At 34.2% G+C, this 22,167-nt stretch overlaps 1 long non-coding RNA gene across 5 annotated transcripts in view; it reads right to left on the bottom strand.

Moving 5' to 3' along the window:
- The window catches only part of LINC01322 (long intergenic non-protein coding RNA 1322), a 332,490-nt gene that overhangs the window by 264,032 nt on the left and 46,291 nt on the right, over positions 1-22,167 (bottom strand). The window contains exon 2 of one of the 5 annotated variants that reach the window (NR_174101.1): positions 16,883-17,000. The exons of the other annotated variants lie outside the window; for them this stretch is intronic. This is a non-coding gene — a long non-coding RNA (long intergenic non-protein coding RNA 1322). The remainder of the gene's footprint in view (positions 1-16,882; positions 17,001-22,167) is intronic. 5 annotated transcript variants of the gene reach the window in all.

Here is a 22,167-nt window from a genome sequence, read left to right as displayed (position 1 = left end):
TCGGCTATACAGATACATGCGTGCATATGCTTATTGCGGCACTATTTGCAATAGCAAAGACATGGAGTGAACCTAAATGCCCATCAATGATAGACTAGATAAAGGAAATGTGGTACATATACACCATGTAATACTATGCAGCCATAAAGAGAAACGAGATCATGTCCTTTGCAGGGACATGGATGGAGCTGGAGGCCATTATCTTTCGCAAACTAACACAGGAAAAGAAAACCAAATACTGCATGTTCCCACTTACAAGTGGAAGCTAAATGATGATAACACATGAACACAGAGGGGAACAACACACACTGGGGTCTATTGGAGGGTGGAGGGTAGGAGGAGGGACAGAAGATCAGGAAATATAACAAATGGGTACTAGGCTTAATACCTGGGTGATGAAATAATCTGCACAACAGGCCCCCATGACACAAGTTTACTTATGTAACAAACCTGCACACATACCCCGGAATTTAAAATAAAAGCTTTTAAGAAAACCAACCCAAATGTCCAACAATGATAGACTGGATTAAGAAAATGTGGCACATATACACCATGGAATACTATGCAGCCATAAAAAATGATGAGTTCATGTCCTTTGTAGGGACATGGATGAAATTGGAAATCATCATTCTCAGTAAACTATCGCAAGAACAAAAAACCAAACACTGGATATTCTCACTCATAGGTGGGAATTGAACAGTGAGAACACATGGACACAGGAAGGGGACCATCACACTCTTGGGACTGTTGTGGGGTGGGGGGAGGGGGCAGGGATAGCATTAGGAGATATACCTAATGCAAAATGACGAGTTAATGGGTGCAGCACACCAGCATGGCACATGTATACCTATGTAACTAACCTGCACATTGTGCACATGTACCCTAAAACTTAAAGTATAATAATAATAAAATTTAAAAAAAATGTGGAGATGCATGAGGAAGTTGGAATTTTAGACAGGTAGGCCCAGGAAGACCTCATGTTTAAGTGGGTGACATGTGAGTGAAGATCTGAAGAGAGCTGACAGGCCAGCAGAAGGCTGGTGGTATTTCTGGCAAAGGGAAGACCAAACACTCTTCCATCAGCATATAACCACGTCGCACATACAGAATTATAGATATCTCCAAGAAATGTCTCCAAGAAGGAAATGAGATGAACTGAAGCAGAAGCAATAATCTACATTATAAATGAATCATTAAAACATTATTTATATAGCAGGGAACTGAAATTCAAACCCTTACTATGTCCTAAGACAAAAAAAAAAAAAAAAAAATCAATGAAAAGAGACTACCATGTAGCCTAGCAAATTTTTGATTTATAAGATAAATAAAAAATCTGAGAGGCATCGAGATAGAAAAAATAACAAATAACAGGTTGGTTTCAGGTCTCTGCTCATCAGATGACAATGGAGCAATGTGATTAAATTTTAGAGGAAAATGTTAAAAATCAGAAGTCATACTCAACTTATTTTCCATTTATGTATAAACTTGAAAGAGATCTTCAGTTGTGTATAGGATCAGAAATAATGGCACTAATGTTTTCTTAAATGAATAAATAAAATATGTGAATCTATACTGCCAATAAATAAAAGATAGATAATAATTTACAATGTAAGAATTTTAAAAATGTGAAATAGATTAACAGATTTTTTTTCTGTTTGAATGAGAAATCAATTATATGGTAATCAGTTCTAAAACAAATTCAATTTCTGACCATTTCTGCAGCCTAAAATATCAGGCTTAATCTTGCAACATTACCTTCAGCTGTTATTTTTCCTTGTATTGGGAAATATCTCTTGGCATATATCCTTCATCAAGAGTGCAGATGGAATCTTTTTCCTGAGTTGATAGAAGCTTAACACATGAAATGATGTTTTTATCTTCAGACTCTTGCTAAATAATATCTAAACTAGGCAATTCAGCTGATAGGCTCAGTGAAATATTAAACCAAAGTTTTGTTTTGTTTTATTTGCCTCTCACAAAGTTATCACCAGCTAAAAACAACATAAAAGTCATTTAATAGCCAAGTGTAATTAATGTTTTTCTTGCTAATTAAAATGCATATTGAATTACTTGATCCATCCTGTTGCTTTGATTTTAATTGGGAAATAATAATAAATCACTTAAAATGTAGTCTCACCTGTCATTTAGTTCCCTTTTTATGTCCTCTTGAATTTTAGGACCAGTCATGTTTCTTCAGTAATTGTGAAAGATTCAGTACGTAAATGTATATGTAAAAATATTTTAAAAGTATACTTCTAAAAAATTTTAAAAGTATAGCAAATATATTGAGTTGTTATTTTTGATATATACTTCTAATTTTAAATATTTTAACATGTACATTTTTCAAAGTAAAAATTTTGTTTCATAAATAGAAAACATGACTAAAATTTTGTACAGAGAATATAACCACAATTAAATAAGATTTTAAAACTACACCTAAAATCATATTTTTGATGGTGTTAGGATTGTGGATATTTTTGCAACTGCATTTTTTTTTTCATCTGGGACTATGTTACCCAGGCTGGAGGAAGGCAGTGACTATTCAAAGGCTCCATCATTGCCTATTGTGCACTGCAGTCTCAACCTCCTGGCCACAAGCAATCCTCCTGCCACATCCATCTGAATTGTGGGTATTTTTATTTTTAAAACTCTATACCTTCCTATATTTGTCAATTTTTTTCACAATTAGTATTCATTCTTATAATATCAGAAATGCTCTAATGAAAGTAATATATTTTGTCATGTTAGTGTTAGTCTACTTTTTCATCATTGACTGGGTATAATTGGCATTTTGGAACATGCCATTAGAATCCTTCATAGGTACTTGCTTGGATCAGTTTTATACTTATTTCTGCTCAACTGAATTGCAGCCTCCTGAAAGATTAAATCTGGTCTGCCTCTGACATTGATAGGATTCAGGACTCAGAAAATAAGTACAAACACAGGGTCAAATATCCTTATGTCTTAATATTTAAAACCATAAGTCAAAACAACAAACTGTAAAATAATACATACTCTAACCTTTTACATTAGCAAATATTAACTTCCTATTGCCAAATGTTTTTTAAAAAAGTCAAGATATTATTTTTTTAAGACTGATGTAAGTAACATATCAAAGACACATGTAGCTGTCATTGCAAATGCCTAGATACTGTGTGGATAAGATGCTGATGTAAGGATGCAAAAATATACAGGCACATTATATATACATATATATTTCATAAATTATTACTATTTTATATATGTCTATCTTATAAAGCATATTCTTTTTGCCTTCATTTCAGTAAAATTATTCATAAAGGTAATAATAAATATCTGTCCATAAAGATCTAAATAAATTTTAAAAATTTAATTATAAGTATAAAAACTTCAATAAATTTTAATACAAATGTAATTCAAAGTAAATGTAAAAGTTTTAAAGTTATTTTATATATTTGTTGTTTTTAAAAAATATTCAAAATACTCTACTAAAATTAATTGGAAATATAAAATATCAAAATATTTAATAAAATCATGTAAATATAATGTTAAATTTAATTTTATAAAATTCTCATTCTAAGCCATTAAATATTTTTATAAAAATAGAACTATTCACAGATCTGTTATTAAATGTCCACCCAGTTGTACCTTTTATACATATTATATCTAAGGCTACATCTATTCAGATTTAAGAGTAGCATGAATGGTTAAATATTGAAAAATGTTCCTCAGCCAATATGTGCAACACTTGCAAAAGAAAGATGCTTATTTCTGGGCCGGGCACGGTGGCTCACGCCTGTAATCCCAGCACTTTGGGGGGGTGAGGTGGGCACATCACCAGGTCAGGAGATCAAGACCATCCTGGCTAACACGGTGAAACCCCATCTCTACTAAAAATACAAAAAATTAGCTGGGTGTGGTGGTGGGCGCCTGTAGTCCCAGCTACTCAGGAGGCTGAGGCAGGAGAACGGCATGAATCCGGGAGGCGGAGCTTGCAGTGAGCGGAGATCTTGCCACTGCACTCCAGCCTGGGCGACAGAGGGACTCCGTCTCAAAAAAAAAAAAAAACATAAATAAATAAAAAATAAAAATAAAAATAAAAGATGCTTATTTCTGAGTACTCTAAGGATTAAATAAGAGCACAAAGAGGTACAAAAAAAAGACACTCAATATTTTATGTAAGAATCTAATGCATTTGTATTAACTGAAAGGATTTAAAAAATGAATTTGTTTTTATTTTTAAGTGCTTCTTCCTCTCAAACTTTTTCTTTACCCAGAAATAGTACATATCTGACACTGGCAATTGTGGAACCCGCAAATCTTCAAAGCATTTGTATACAATCACTTTTTGTTGTAATAACTTATGCCAAGATATGCAGTAGTTTTCCTAGGATCTGAATGATGTTAATCATGAGAACAAATGTTTCAAATAATGAGTTGTGCTGAGAATTGTCTGTGTGTTCTTTAATTATTTTTATTCAAGTTTCTCTGACTTGTGGAGCTTAGGGCAGGAAGTTTTTTGCACTGATCTAAGGCAGTACCAGTGGGAATCATGCCCTATCCACCTTGTCTACACTGCAGTTACTAAACGAACATCTCATAGCACAAGAAGTGCTTAATAACTTTTGAATTTGTTGAATTAACCTGAAAACCATTAATATAATAATCCAGAAATTGCTAAAGACATGCAAGTAGAGATTCTTGAACATGTAGTATGATGCTTTTTGGAATCCACCAAATGAATGAGTAAATTGAGAAAAGGAAGGTAATGAAGAATTTAAGATTGAGTAAAGCAACAAAATAAAAGGGGGTAAAAGGTGGGACCTGTTTGCAATGTTCCCTCCCTTCGTTAGAGTATATGCTATGCATCTGAAAGTCTCTAGTCTTAAAAAAAGATAAAGTAAATAATTAAAGTGATAAGTTAAATATTGACAGCCCTTAACAAAATGCAAGCCCAATTTTATGTCTGAAAGAGAATCTATTTACACTACACGTGCAAAGCAGGTATCCTTTTGTGAATTTAAGAGCTTGTATCTTTCTTGCACTAGAAAGGAGGAAGTTCGAACCCATGGCAAAGAAGTTAAAAACCTTGAAAAAAATTAGATGAATGGATAACAAGAATAACCAACGCAGAGAAGTCCTTAAAGGACCTGATGGAGCTGAAAACCATGGCAGGAGAACTACGTGACGAATGCACAAGCCTCAGTAGCCGATTGGATCAACTGGAAGAAAGGGTATCAGTGATGGAAGATCAAATGAATGAAATGAAGCGAGAAGAGAAGTTTAGAGAAAAAAGAATAAAAAGAAACGAACAAAGCCTCCGAGAAATATGGGATTATGTGAAAAGACCAAATCTACGTCTGATTGGTGTACCCGAAAGTTACAGGGCGAATGGAACCAAGTTGGAAAACACTCTGCAGGATATTATCCAGGAGAACTTCCCCAATCTAGCAAGGCAGGCCAACATTCAAATTCAGGAAATACAGAGAACGCCACAAAGATACTCCTGGACACAGGATATACATTGACACAGGAAGGGGAACATCACACACCGGGGCCTGTTGTGGGGTGGGGGGAGGGGGAAGGGATAGCATTAGGAGAGATACCTAATGTTAAATGACGAGTTAATGGGTGTAGCACACCAACATGGCACATGTATACATATGTAACAAACCTGCACGTTGTGCACATGTACCCTAAAACTTAAAGTATAATAATAATGAAAAAGAAAAGTCTTGATTTTTATAACCAATGATATTATTTAAAAGAAATATACTAGTAAAATAAATTCTAAAATTTAGCTTAATAGTTCTTGAGTAAGGCAAAAGAAAAAAAAAGACACATTTTACTGCCAATTTGTTAAAGAAAGTGCCAGGTAATGTCACTCCACTGTGGTCATATCTCAAAATATCTCTGCTTTTATTCTAAAATAAGACATGATCTATAAAATGTTTGTGCATCTCAAGATGATTTCACTGAAAGCAGTGCAGAGTTCCAATAAGGTAATCAAATTCTTCAGAGACTCTTCTAAATATAATTCGTAACCTATAAGGTATTTTGTATTCTCTTTAATAGAATGCCTGACAGAAATAGAATAGAAAAAGATTACCTCCTTCCTCCCCAAAGACATGCAGTGGATCTGATTCTGTCTCAGCCTTAGTCAACAAGTGTATTAATGGAAATACTATGGCTCAGTATGTTCCACATTGGTAAACTTGACAGAAATAGCCTGAAGTTAAAAAAAAAAAAAAAAAAACCTAGAAAAATTTAGATTTTAGGAACTCACTGTGAACCCTGAAAATTAGTCACTAAATCTGTATTTTGATGATCCCTTTTTGAGACATATATTATGTGAACTATTCTTAACATATTTCTGTTTTATATCCCCATTTTAATGGTTTCAAAAACTACTTTATTTAGGAATAAGGTTTTATTTCATATTTAAAACTTCTAGTGCCATCTGATATAATATCATTTTTCCCATTGTATAAACTCACCTCAAACTTCAGTTAAATGATTCGTAAAAGCAATTTTGTCAGTTTTTCTCAACAGTGAAAACATAATATTGCTTTTCTAAAAATTCTAATAATATGAGCTTAAAATGTTAGTATGAGAGCAGTTTTCAGCTTATTTATATTTGATTTATGGCTTGTTCTGAAATATATTCTTTCTGCTACAATGTTTATTTTCTGTAAAGTGGATGAGTCATATGTGACAGGTAAATAGGGAAACAGTATCAATATGAAGTGGAAATTGCTTTGATTCACACACGATATTCCTTAGCATTTCAGTGCTTTGTGCCACCAAATAACTACTGAATGCAGCAAGCCATGAGAGAATATAATATTATATACAATGCCAGCTGACCCCACAAATCTACCTGTTGGCTTGAATTAAATAATGCTTCTGACTTGGAAGTTATTATTACATAGTTTGCTACCATTCTTGTATATTGAATAAAATGGTGGCTCCCCAAATATATGCCCGCATCCCAATTCCCAAAGTTTGTGAATATTGCCTTATTTGGAAAAAGGGTCTTAGCAGTTGTAATTAATGAATGTAAAATATAGATATGATAATTACATTATCTGGATGAGTCCTCAGTCCAATGACAAGAGTCTTTGTAAGAGAAAGGGAGAGGGAGATTTGAGAGAGAGCAAGGAACAGGAAAGGACACAAAGCATAAGTTCACATAAAAATGAAGCGGAGAGTGGAGTAGTGCAGCCTCCAGCTATGAAATGCTCATAGCTACCAGAAGCTGAAAGAGTTAAGAAAGAGAAGTTTTTCCTACAGCCTCTTGGAGGAAGTGTTGCCCTGTTGACATGACTCCTTGATGTTAGACTTATGGCCAGACTAGTGAGAAAATAAATGTCTGTTGTTTTAAGACTCCTAATTTGTGATAATTACTTAAAACATCCCTAGTTAATTAATATATCTTGTAACTTTCATTTTAATCTTCATAACAGAGCAATTTAACTCAAATTTTTCTGGTTCCTCCTTTCAAACATAATGATTACCTTTTTTGGTAAATAAAGTTTGATATGTACTGTAATATTTATAACTGTTAGGAATTAAATATATATTATATATATATTTAACTGCACCAGTATATTTATAAGGAACGTCATTTTGTTCATTTGTTTTTGTGCTCTAATTGCAAAGTTTTATAGATGCTGAGTCACTTTGCCTATCATTAACTTTTCTATCAGCATACTCTTTTTACATGTGAGATTTTGGAAAACAGCTCAGTTTATTTTTAGAAATGCCTATTTTGTGATGTAACAGAAATGCTTCCATTTTATGTGTATAGATGTCTCTTTAAAAATGTAATTGCATATAAAAACTGACAGCATAAGATGTCAGTGATTATTAAAAGCATTTTTCTGTAATTTCTTGGGTACATAACATTACAGAAATAAAAAATTGAAAGCTATCTTGGTTGTCATTTTGTCTAACCTCCAGACTAATGCAGGAAAGCTGTCTATAATATTTAGGTTGCCATCCAATGTTTATTTGAATATGTCTATTGACATACAGCTTATTCAAATTAGAGAGTTCATAACCATGTTTAGGTTTCTAAATTACTATCTGAAATATATTTAATCCTCACTTCTTTTTTACTTTCATTTACAATTATATATTTTTTGAATTTGCACATTTAGATATATGTAAAATAGTCTTTTTTCAGGTAAAATAAAAGTTGATAGGGTGCCTGAGGGTTTAGTCAGGATAGATAGCTGAAGGCAGTTTTGGATTAGTGAAATTATAGACAACTAGACGCAATAACTTCTCTAAGGATATATTAGAAGTCACATATATGACCTGGATAAAACAACACAAATGGTCATCACCTGACAAATGAATAAATAAAGCATGGCATATCCACCTAATGGAATATTATTCAGGAATATAAAGGTAGTGGAATATGAACAAGTCTTTAAACATTATGGAACGTGAAAGAACCTAGTTGCAAAAAAACACATTTCATGGTTCTATTTATTTCTGAAGATCCCAGAATAGGCAAATCTATGGAAACAGACAGTACATCAGTGATTTCCAGGGATTGTTGGGAAAAGATCATGTGGAGTGACTGCTAATGGATTTTTTTTGGGGGGGTGATGAAAATTTCCTAATATTAGTTCATTATGTTTGTGCAACTCTATGTATATACCAAAAACTACTGAATTACACATTTTAAAAAGGTGAATTTTACTATACATTAATTATATCTAAATAGAGCTGTTATGAAAACATACACATACACACACACACAAAACCAAAACCAAAAAACAAATCAAGGTCCACATGGTATCAGCAGCTATGAGAAAGGAAGCAGAGAAATGGCAAAGGGAAATTGGATAGACTTAAGAGCCTGAGAACCTACAAGTCACCTACAGGTACTCCTTAGAAACCTGTCCAGCTAATCAGCATATGGCAGTCAAAAGTGAAACAGCGTTCTTCACAGTTCAACTCAAAGGTATGTGTAAGGAGACTGTCTAAAGGCTGCTGTGAAAAAAGGTTGAGCCCTATGGATCCTTGAAATCCACTGACTAGATATCCTTTCCAGAACAGTCTGATATTGACAGAAGCTGTAGGATACAGAAGCTAAATTAAGAGAGTTCAGATAATTTGGGAAAGGGAAAGAGAGTTAACCTTTCAAAAATATATGACTATATTTTTTTAAACATCTGTGAGAATAACAAAAGTTTTGCCAGATATGGTGGTTTACACTTGTAATCCTGTCACTTTGAAAGGCTGAGGTAGTTGAATCGCCTGAGCTCAGGAGTTTGAGACCAGCCTGGGCAACATGGTGAAACCCAGTCTCTACCAAACACGCAGACACACACACACAAACACACACACACACACTCACACACCCACACACCCATAGCCCTGTGTGGTGGTGCACACCTGTCGTCCCAGCCACTCAGGAAGCTGAAGTAGGAGGATCACTTGAGCCTGAGAGGCAGAGGTTGCAGTGAGCTGAGATCTTACCACTGCACTCCAACCTGGGGGACAGAGTGAGACTCCGTCCCCAAAAAAGGAAGAAGGGAAAGAGAGAAAGAAAAGAGAAAGAACGGAAGAAAGAAAGAAAAGAAGGAAGGAAGGAAGGAAGGAAGAAAGAAAGAAAGAAAGAAAGAAAGAAAGAAAGAAAGAAAGAAAGAAAGAAAGAGAAAGAAAGAAAGAGGCGTGAAGGGAGGGGGGAGGACGGGAGGGGTGAAGGGAGGGGGGAGGGGGGAAGAAGGAAGGAAGGGAGGGAGGGAGGAAGGAAGGAAGGAAAGAAGGGAGGAAGGAAGGAAGGAAGGAAGGAAGGCAGGAAGAAGGGAGGAAGGAAGGAAAGAAGGGAGGAAGGGAGGTGAAGGGAGGGGGAAGGAAGGAAGGAAGGAAGGTGGGAGGAAGGAAGGAAGGAAGGAACGGAGGGGGGAGGAAGGAAGGAAGGAAGGGAGGGAGGGGGGAGGAAGGAAGAAAGAAAGGAAGGAAGGAAAGAAGGAAGGAAGGGAGGGAGGGAGGGAGGTTCTAATGCCTTTAGGTTGGTAAGGCTATCTTGATCTATCCTCTTCTTTAAGAGCATAAAAAGATAAATTTCATTTGCATATGAGCAGTAGAAAAAAATTGTAGTAAAAATTATGCAAATATAAAGGAAATAAGAACAATATACAGAATAATTTACCTACTACAAATAAAGGCACACCCAAAAAAGAATCTACCATCAATCAAACAGAAAAAAAAAACGAAGTATTTCAAAACAAGCTAAAGAAACTTAATAAAATTATAGAACACCGAAAAACAAACTTTAAAAATAGAAAAACTCAGATATAAGGGGATTGAAGAAGAGAGGATTGCAAGAAAAATATTACATAATTTAAGAAATAATTAGAAGAAACAATCAGAATTAGAAAGTAGATTAGAAGTTTTATTCTTTCTGTTAAGAGGAATAGAAAATGGAAAGGAAGAAATTGCTTTAATCAAAAAGAAGGAAAGAAATAGATCCAAAGTATTTAATAGATACTAAGAGGTGAAAAAATCAAAGTAATGAAATGTAATATACAGTTAAAACTATGATTTAAAACATTTTTTCTAAAATAAAAGAATAGTTGAAACAACACATTGAAAGATAGACAACATACTTGGGAAAACTGACCCAGAAGAACAAAACAGAGCACACCGGTACAACCATTAGATTCTAACAACAGTGAACATTTTTTTCCTTACAGGCAAAAAAAGGAAGTGACTTAAGGAAAAAATATCAGATTGTTACCAGATTATTCAACCATAACATGCTCCCCAAAATAGAATAATATGTTAATGAATGAAAATGTGAGCCTAAAATTTTATCTACAATCAAGCTTACTTTCAAGCATGTAGGTTATAAACTGTAATGAACAGGGAATATTGTATTCAATGAGCCCTTCCCTTTAAACAAGCTTCTCACAACAAAAATGACTGTAAATACATGAGCATAAGGAATTGTAGCAAATAATAAATATAACCTATAACTAAAATTAAATGGAGATTAAAAGGAAATTATATAGTACATAATACATACATACTTTGAAAATATATAACTGTCAAAAAATATTGTGGGGGAATACAGATTGCAAATGAAAAGTAAATAAGCTCACAGATTGCCTTACTGGTATTAACTTAGATTAAAGTAACATTTTTTTTTGTTTTTGAGACGGAGTCTTGCTCTGTCACAATGCTGGAGTGCAGTGGCCTGATCTCGGCTCACTGCAACCTCCGCCTCCTGGGTTCAAGTGATTCTCCTGCCTCAGCCTCCTGAGTAGCTGGGATTACAGGCACGTGTCACCAGGCCCAGATAATTTTTGTATATTTAGTAGAGATGGGGTTTCATCATGTTGGCCAGGATGGTCTCAATCTCTTGACCTTGTGATCCTCCCGCCTAGGCCTCTCAAAGTGCTGGGATTACAGGCGTGAAATATTTTAAATTAGGTGCTGTGGGGATTCATTATACTTTTCTCTCAGCTTTTGAATACTTTTGTAATTATTATAAAAGAGATAACTTCGGAGTTTCTAGTTTAGAAATCTTGCAGTAAGCCAGACAAAAAACAATAAAAACTGGAAACATAAGAATAATGAGGAGAATAACAAGGAGAGAATGGATATACTATTAAATAGAATTGGCAGAAGATTGTGACCTGTGGAGATAAGAAGGGTGGAGAGGCCAAAGATGACTCCATAGTTCTAGTTGAGATGACTTGGTAGATTGTGGTTGTCACCACTGAAACATGAGACACATGGGAAAAACAGGTACAATTAACTTAGATGGGAGCATAGAAGAATACATACGGCACAGAGGATGATGAGTTGTATCTAGAGAGATTAAATTTACCAAACATCAAGGTAAAACAAAATAATTAGCTATAATGACATTTTAAATTCTAAGTCCAAACTAATAATAGAGCCTAATGAATAACTACGGAATTAACTCTTTTTTCTTTCTTTCTCTCTTCTTTGGTTTCTGAAAAGCTTTCTTCCATAAATTCATCTCTTGTGCTCTCTCATCTGCAATTCCATTTGAAAACTTTTATTGCTTTTAGCAAATGGTTTGTACCTTGTTTTAAAAATTCAAATTAAAGGTGAAAAAAGTTGAAAGTTGTTTAAAGAAAAAAACAGGCCATTGCCTTATAATTCTGTTCTCCAGAATTAGGAAATTTGAAGCTCTTTTAATTGTTTCTCCTAGCGTTTACTTTTGTATTTCCAAATTACATGCAAATTCTACCAACTTGATGTTTATCAATTAGTAAAGGATCTACTGTCTTTCCATTACAGTAAATAGAGATTTACCTCTTACACTCACCTTGTAACCCAATACAACAGCTACATTATTGTTTGTTTGTTTGTTTATTTTGAGATGGAGTCTCTCTCTGTTACCCAGGCTGGAGTGCAGTGGCGCGATCTCGGCTCACTGCAACCTCCGCCTCTCAGGTTCAAGTGTTTCTCCTGCCCCAGCCTCCCAAGTAGCTGGGATTACAGGTGCCCGCCACCATGCTTGGCTAACTTTTTGTATTTTTATGCAGACTGGGTTTCAATATGTTGGCCAGGCTGGTCTCAAATTCCTGATCCCATGATCCACTTGCCTTGGCCTACATTATTGTTAAAATCAGTATTTGGTTTATGCATTATTATGAGTAAGTAAATATTGTTACTTTCGAGTCAGTTAACATACTCAAAATTACATTTTCTTGTGTGTGTAATGTGTGTGTGTGAGTGCGTGTCTGTTTGTGTGTTTTTTTTTTTCTGGAGTTTGTAATTAATACTTTTTTCACATTTTTAGTTTTATTTGGTCCTTTATACTGACCATTCTCACATCATAGAGTAGCCTATTAATTAAAATTTATCTTCATATAACTTCCTTTAATAGAAGTAAAATAGTGCATTCAACTATCCATATGGTCAAACATCACAGTCTCTCAGTTTCTCCCATTGCTCTCAAAATACCTGGAGAGGAACATAGCTTTCAAAGGCTGCTGCATAGCTGTGGCCATAATTCTAATTTCCTTCTCAGCACTGCACAGGGAGAGGCAGCACATTGTAGAGCTTACAAGTATAGACTTTGAAGTAAATTCTAACTGTGTTCAAATCTTAATTCTTAGGGGTGTTATGACATATAAATGAATTAATACATAAAAAGTGCTTAGAGAAGTTAATCTACAAAGTTCAATGACATGTAGTATTTTAAAATAAAACTTTTCTCCCTGCATTGGATCTATAGCTTCTTCCTTCTTGGTTGACTCTACAGTTTTGATAGAAGAGATGCTCCAGGGGATTCTTGAGAAACGATGGGAGATAAACTGTTGAGATATTGCATGTTGAAAATATATTTCTTCTACACTTATATTTACTTCCAAATAAACTGCAATCATATAATTACATTAATTAAATTTTAATCGTGTAATTACTCAATTAATTCATTGAGTAATTAATTAAAGGGCTTTTTAAAATCTCAGTGAAGTAAAATAAGGACTCCTAGCATCAGAAATTAGTAAGTTCTGCCACTGAAGATTCTCAGTGATTATTGAGACCAAGCAGAACAGTTGCCCCAAGTAATGAGCTTGTGGAACCTCACCCACACAAAATTAGTTACCTCTACTCTCTAAACAAGCCTGTCTGTAACTTACCATTCTGTAACTACTAAACCATGTCTCCAGGAATCGTAACCTATTTTCATTACTTGTAATTCTCCCTGTTCATTACAGTTTGTAGATTTTATATGTATGAAAATCAGTTTGATTGTAAATAATATCTTTGGCTCTCCCTTTACTGAGAAAATACACTCTAGCTATCAGCCAATATCATGCATTAACTTAAATCCTTACACTTAAAAAGGAGTAGAAAATCCTGAGACACCAAATATTTCAGGGAAACAACATTAAAACCATAAACGAATAAAACAATCACCGTGAACAAAAGGAAGAAATAACTACAGTTCAAGAAAATAAAGCTAACAGAAAAAATAAAACTAATAGAAGAAAAAGACTAAAATACTAAAATAAGGAAATAAATTTAAAGTAAATACATAAAATAAGTAAATAAGTAAAAATATTAAGTAATATTTATTTTGTATTTAATATTAATGTAAGGAAAATGTTAAAAAAGGAAATAAGCTTTAAAATAAAGCAAATAAACAAGTAAAAATGTTAAATAAAAATTTATTTAAAAGTAATATGATAAAGATTTCCATTGGAAAGTAAAAAAAGAAAAAAGAATAAAATATTTTTAAACAATTCAGTTTTTGGAACTCAAAATCATAATTGATATTCTCCCCTATGCACAACAAAACAGAATAACAATAATAACAAAAGTAGATTCTTAATATACACACTGAATAACAGATGGGGCAGGTTTATAGATAAAGTTACCCAAAAAGAACAAGCAAAAGTACTATTCTAAAGCAGAAATAAAATGCTAAGAGATAGGGCATATATGTCCCTGTCTGAATAATATCCCTTGATTAAGATATTCTACAACATAGATAAGATATTCTACAACATAGATAGATATTCTCCAACAGATAAGATGGAGAGGAAAAAAAGTCAAAGAAATAACAAAAAAGAATCTATGAGCTGAAGAAAGATTAGAGTCTTTATACTGAAAAGTACCACCAAGTGGCAAAAGTAAATTAAGAAAATTATCCCGAAAAATATTCATATGAAACTGTTAAATACTGAATAGGAAAAAGTATAAGTTTTCAGAAAAAAATACATAGAATTGGTAATCATACTAATATTCACACCTGGTCACTCCCCATTACATAAATATTTACTTTCTGAAAATATCATTCCTCTTAATCTGATTACTGTTTTTTTTTTTCTGTCAGTTTCCTCTTGTTAGAATATAAGATATTTGACAATAGGGAATGTATTGTTGCTGTTTTTATATTATTATTATTACCGTTTTCCCAGCAATAAGTGTTGTGTCCAGTATGTATTAGGTGCTCAATAAGTATTTACTAAAGAAATGAATTAACAAACAGTATGCTATTTTTTCAATGGACAAGACACTTAATCACTCATACTCAGTTGCCTAACAGGAAAAAAAAAAAAAAAGCAGCTACATGAGATGGTTTCCATGGTTCCTTACAGGTTACATTTTTGTGATTCAAGTATGACTATTTATCCCAAAAGTTAATTTACAATATTAAATCTTAACTTCTCAATCTCTTTAATGGCTGCTCTGTAGCAGTCATTATTTGTCTTATAGTTGTTACCCTGAATATAAACTCTGTTTCTATATTGGAACATTGCTGCTCTGTGAATCTTGGTTGCAGGTAGAATTGATCCCGACTCTAGAAGGCAGAAAGCCCAGATAAAGACAAACAAATTATCAGGACTCCCTTGTTTTTAGGCCATGAGCGAGTGACCTAAGTACAACACTCAGATGCTCTTATTCAGACAACAGAGAATCCGTTGCAGTGGCAGGAGGTGCAGTGGTCTCCAGGAACAGAAGTGGCAGTGACAACAGCAGCTTTATCCAGAGGCCACTGTTGCTTACTAGCAGTAGAGCAATCTGTGGCATCTAATGATCAGCAAAATTACAGCACAAAATGCTTTGCTGAACTTGTTTTTGTCACAGGACTGGATATTGCCTAACTTCCTTACTTATTTCCATTTTCTGTTTGTTTTGTTTTTTGAGCTACCCAACACCTTTTAATACGTTTATTTTCAGCTTACAACACCTCCATTCTGCTTGTAGGCTTCCAGCCAAAATTGCTGACTAATACTTGGCAATAGAATGATAAAGCATTCCTGAAACAGCCTCAGAAAATTCTTAGAAATATGATTTAAAAAGTTATGATTCCTTAATTGTTAAAAATAATATTGTCAAATTAATTATTTTCAGTAAAGATACATGTGATTAATTTTCAGCAAAACAAAACTATTAGTGGTAGATTGTGAGCTTTCAGGCTGAAATTTCCCTGTATTTCAAATGTTTGTTGTGTGTATGTATATGCATATATGTAATAGAAGCTAGCATTTGTTGAACTTACAAAAATTGCTGAAATGCTATATACGAGTAATTAAATTAGAATGTTAAAAAGGTTAAAAATAAAAAGACGCACAAATATGCTAAGATAATACTAATAAAAAAGTAGTATCTGTATTAATGTCAAAATTAGAATTAAAAGCAAAATCATTCAATATGGAAAAAAATTTTAAAAACATAAACCAGGAACAATGGTGCGTCTGTAATCCCAGCTAGTTAGGACCTTCAGAAATGCTACAGCCCAGGAGTTTGAGGCCAGGCTGGGCAACATAATGAGACCCCATCTCTTAAAAAAATAAGAACATATAAAATATATTTTAATTCATACAATTGTGATACATATTTAAATTTTGGTGCTCTCATTAATCTTCATAATATAGCATAACTTACTTCTTTTTCTTTGATTCAAATTAAGTCTGGCACAGAGTCCACATGGGCAAAAGCTGAGAAGGATACAGACCAGACTATTAAAAATGGAATAGGATAGTATGGTCTTTATCCAAGTTTCTGGCACAGAGCTCCTAAAACGCTTGGGATTTGAGTAACAGCAATGTCTTTTGTTATTCATAATGAGCTCTTTCTGATGACACCTAAGTTTATGCTAGTGAGACGAACTAGGATGGGGCCTCCAGATAACCTCAGGATGGGGCTAGCCTCCAGAAAGACCAAGTGATCAAAGTATTGGTACTTTTAGTCCAATTCAGTGACTTCTGGGAAGGCTAGGAGAGGCTGGAGAGTAAGCTCTATAAAAACACTTGAGGCCGGGCACGGTGGCTCACGTGTGTAATCCCAGCACTTTGGGAGGCCGAGGCGAGCAGATCATAAGGACAGGAGATGGAGAACATCCTGGCTAACACGGTGAAACCTCATCTCTACTAAAAATACAAAAAATTACCCAGGTGTGGGGGCAAGCGCCTGCAGTCCCAGCTACTCGGGAGTCTGAGGCAGGAGAATCCCTTGAACATGGGAGGTGGAGGTTGCAGTGAGCCAAGATCACACCATTGCACTCCAGCCTGGCAAGAGAATGAGACTCCATCTCAAAAACAAACAAACAAACAAACAAACAAGCAAAAAACACTTGAACACCTAAATCTGATGAGCTTCCAGGCTGTTAAACACATCAAGGTGCTGCGAGTATGGTGCAGTCCGAGAAAACATGGAAGCTCTATGCAAACTCCCACCCCCATCCCCATACCTTGCCCTATGTAGCTCTTCCATTTGACTCTTCTTGAGTGGCACTCCTTATAATAAACCAATAAGTTTATTAGTTTATTTACTAATAAGTGAAGTGTCTCCGTAAATTCTGTGAGACCTCTTGACCAACTATCAAACCTTAGGGGAGAAATTCGGGGCACTCCAATTTATAGACAGCCAGTCAGATGTATGGGTGGCCCAAGGCTTGTAATTGGGGTCTAAAGTGGAGTTACTCTTATGGGAGTGAGCCCTAAAGCTGTAGAGCCTGTGCTAACTCCAAGTAGTTAGTGTCAGAAATGAATTGAATTGTTGAAAACCGAGTTTCATCCAGAGAATCAGAAAATTCATTGTTGGCCTTGGAAATCAACCCAGACAAATATCAATAGGGGACTTACATATTTTACTGTTGTAATCCTACTATATATATATGTAGATATGTATTTATAATCATAAACATGTATTTGCTTTTTACTTTAGTTTTAAAATCTTGTAAATAATGTGTACAGAAATATAGTAAATGTAGTTTCTGATTTCTTATCATCTTTGATGCCTTCTCTTTTAGTATTGCTGTTATCCTATTTTGGTGCCTATTATCTGCTCAAGTTCCAATTACTTTGGCACTGCCTTACTAGGTATACAAAATGAAATAAAGTTCAGTAATGGTTAGTAAAATGACGCAAAAAGTTTAGGCGAAATGTTGAAATGAGCAATATCACCAAGCAGCTGAAAATGTGTTGAGATACACTAAGTGCTATATAAAAGAAAGCAAACAAACAAGACTTCATTACACAGTTGACTAATCTCTGTAACTGATGGGCAATCCTCATTGTCTTACAACATTCAGGCTTTCATTAGTGATTTCAGGCCAGCAGAGGAAACATAAAATTGAATGCATGCGGCCAAGGTGAAGTTTTAAGGGTATGATTTTGAATTTATTATGTTAAGAATCATATAAAAGTAATCAATAATAAATAGACTAGAAATGTCTTTACACAAAATGGTAGAAGGCTGTAGTCCTAAATCCAGAAAGCTAAACATATTCTGAAAAAGGAAGTTGTCAAGTACATCAAACTTATATTCTCATGGTTATTTGTATAAAAGATAACGATGATTAAAGGAAAATACTATACACGTAGTTCTCCATTATTTTCTAATACATTTGTTGTTAAATAAGTTACATTAATGCTTTCTAGAGATGAGATTTACAGCAAGAACTACATATGTACTTGTACATGAAATAAAATCTTTAGTGACATCTCTGATTGCCTGAAATGCAATTCAAAATCCAAATCTGTATATTATCACGAAGTAATCTCTCTCTGGGCAAGAGAAGCATATCATATGTCATATTTCTAAACTTTTAGTAGGAAGAGCAAGCCTTGCAAAACTAAACAGATTGCTCTGCAAAGGCTTCTGAACTTGATTTTTTTTTTTTAATCACAGAAAACTGCCATCTATCGGTAGAAAATCTCAACCAAGGAATTCATAGAACTTAACAGACTTGACTAGACTACAAAGCAGTTCACAAGGCTCTCAGTCTAATTAAGAGTGGTGTAACAATATTTTAAAGACCTTAATGGGATTTCTAAAAGCTAGTTATCAGCTTTCTAAATTATATTTACAGCATTTTTTCCAAATAAAATGTATCAGTATGTAATATATAATATACATTTATTTGACATTATTTTCTTATGTAAACCTAGACTAATTTTTTTTAAGAGACAGGGTCTCGCCCAGGCTGAAGTGTGATCTTAGCTCACTGTAGAGTCAAACTCCTGGGCTCAGGTGATCCTCTGGCTTCAGGCTCCTGAGTAGCTGGGATTAGAGGGCAGGCATGAGGCACTACAACTGGCCTCAACGTTACCTTTTAAAGATTCTAACTACACCATATTTGGGAGGGAGGGAGGAATTTTAATATTTTTGAAGACTAAAAGAATTATAAAAGCACATTATGTAAAAATGGTAAAAAATTAGTAATTTTAATAATGAAACAAAATATATTAGTAAAAGTTATTACTAATTCTCAGATAACTGTGATCAAAAATTATAACTTAAAATATATGTATTTTTTAACCATATAACATTAAACTTTGACCATTTTCCACATATGAATCTGTATTTGAATCAATGTGATTTTAAAACACGCTCGGGATGCTCAGCTTTTCAGTTTAATTTGGTAAACTAAGTGACCTAACTATAACCAAGAATCACTTTTAACAAATCAAAATATCAAAACTGGAAAGGCCTAGAAGTTAAACCTTGTAATTTTAAATTAAGGAAATTGAAACCCACTGAGGGTAAGCAATTACCTAAATATTACACAACTAGAAGAGAAGGCAGCTTTAGAACCTAGTCCCTTGACTACATCTCTGTTTCCTCTCCATTCTTTTGAGCCATCATTTTCAATTACATTAACTATGACAAAAATGTACACAGTTGTAAAAATTAGAAACAAATTTTTAAATATCTTGTAAACTAAGCTTTGTTTATTATTGTTCATAGTCTCATTCAAAAACAAAAACATGTATAAATTACAGGCTTATCAGATATTCTGAACTATCATAAACCATAGCATGGCACAGAAAAACATGTAACAGAAATTTAAACTCTGGAATCTAAAAGGTTAATTTCATGTTATCCTTTTATTAGCCTAGCATTCTTAAATTTTATCAAACATCATTAAATATTCTCTTCCATTCATACATCTGGCCTTCTTCAGATTAGTGGCACTCCTCATCAGTCCTGAAATTCAACACTATATTTAATCAATTTAAATCTACTCATTCTATTAAAATAAATAATCATTAACTCTGGAACTCCGAAGATAATGTGACTTGAAAGTTAAATATGCACTGAGGGAGAAGTACTTTTTTTTTTACTTTTCTTATCAGAGGTAATTTATTGCTTATATGAGTTAAGACTGAGCATCCTCAAATATGCTTACTAATAAGGAACTGTTCACCTTATTTAGCAAATAGCCTTTCTCTTGTCCTACCTTATAGATCATCTCCTACTTTCAGCTCTTACCAACATTCCACTTAGTCACAAAAGCCATTGAAGGAACAGTCCTTTGAGGCAATAATGTAAGGTAAATCTCTTTCCAAATTAAAAGCAAAATAAGTGGTGTAGCTCAGTGAAAATGCTGACTCAGAGGGATAAGTGTTTTAGCACCAGCTTCGTCACCAGCAACAAAGTGTGTTCATATTTGCCTTATACCAAAAAGGTCAGTGATTCTCAAGTAAATAGCTCCCTCCACTGGTCCAACCATCATTATATGCTTTGAAGCATAAAGTCCCTGGAGTTCTACTAGAACCTCATCTGTTTGCAATCCAGATGAGAGAATGCTACCCAGAACTGTTTGAGAATTTAGAAAAACTAGATTTAAAAGGTGGATCAGCCAATAGCTAAAAGGTAGCAATCTCTGTAGAGCAGTAAGACCTCAATGGAAATGTAATTAGATGAAAAAATATGTATAAATAACAGGACTCCTTTCAGAGACAGCAAGACCAGCGACTGGAAAACACACTATGAAAAATATCTCGCAGCTCTCAGAGGATGTGATGAGATATAAAAGAGAGGAAAAATGATCTCCAAACTACTGTCAAGGTATAAAGGGTCTGTCTAGGTACTGGGCTTCTTTTTGCTAACTGGGTATTAAAGTTTAGGAATAATCTGAATTTCTTATTTATAGTAGAGACTGAATACTTCTTTGCCCTTCTTTCGTAAAACACTTATCCTATTCTAAAGAATATTTTCAGTTCGAAGGGATTCTCATTATTAACCTATCCAATGTTTCTTTGTAGGAGATACAATCTAGTCCAACCTCTTTGTTTTGTAGATGAGGAGGCTCACAAAAGTAAAATAGTTTACTAAAAAGTTTCTCATCTAAATCCTGACCATATCGCCAGATTGATGAGGTATCCTTTATAGGACAGTGGTTCCCAAAGCATTGTGCTTGCACTAGCAGCAGCAGCATCACCTGGCACTTGTTAGCAATAAAAATTTGGGGGCCCCACCCCGACCTGTCAATTCAGAAACTGGAAGATGAAGCAGAAGCAATCTGTGTTGTTTCTGGTTTGTGACGGAGTCTCTCTCTGTCACCCAGGCTGGAGTGCAGTGGCATGATCTGGGCTCACTGCACCTCCGCCTCCAGGATTCAGGCAATTCTCCTGCCTTGGCCTCCGGAGTAGCTGGGACTACAGGTGCGCACCACCATACCCGTGTAATTTTTGTATTTTTAGTAGAGATGGGATTTCACCATGTTTGCTGGGCTGATCTCGCAATCTGTGTTTTAATAAGCCCTCCAGATGATTATGATGTACATTAAAGTTTGAGAACTTCACTCTGGCAAATGTTATCAAAATTTTAAAGTTAATTTATTTAATATAATAAATGAAAAAAAATTTTAACAGTGTTCTATGTACTAAATTTTAGGGAGTATAATCAACTTGTGAGTTGTATACAGATAGATTGTCCTTAGACAATCAAAGTTGGACAAATTGTTCTCACCCATGCTTACTCTATCCCACCCAATATCTCATTCTACGTTGGCCAAAAATACATATTTATTGTTCAGATTCACTCAAAAGACAATTTCTATGTGATTTTCTTTCTTCTACAATTTAACTAAATTCCAGATCAAATCAACTTTCCCTTATTATTACAGGCATATTTCTACCAAAATATTTTAACAAATTTCTGTTAAATAATTGGATACATATAATTTAGCTGGGCCTCATGGTTTTTGAGATTCCTGTCATGGAGATAAAAATTACTACTGGAAATCACTGAGAATGATAGTTCTCTGCCTTAGCTGCATCATTTAAGGCTGCTCTTTCTAACTAAAGAGTTTAGAAAAATACTGATGTCTGGATCCCTTTCATACGCCACCAAAAGGCTCTAATTTAATTATAATGGGAAGCAGCCAGGACATCAGAGTTTTTGAAAGTTCCCCAGATTATTCTAATATGAACTCAAAACTGACGT

The sequence above is a fragment of the Homo sapiens genome, chromosome 3, assembly GCF_000001405.40.
Source record: "Homo sapiens chromosome 3, GRCh38.p14 Primary Assembly".
Classification (NCBI taxonomy): Eukaryota; Metazoa; Chordata; class Mammalia; order Primates; family Hominidae; genus Homo; species Homo sapiens.
Note: the sequence above shows the minus strand (reverse complement) of the source record. Positions and strands in the feature narration are given on the sequence as shown.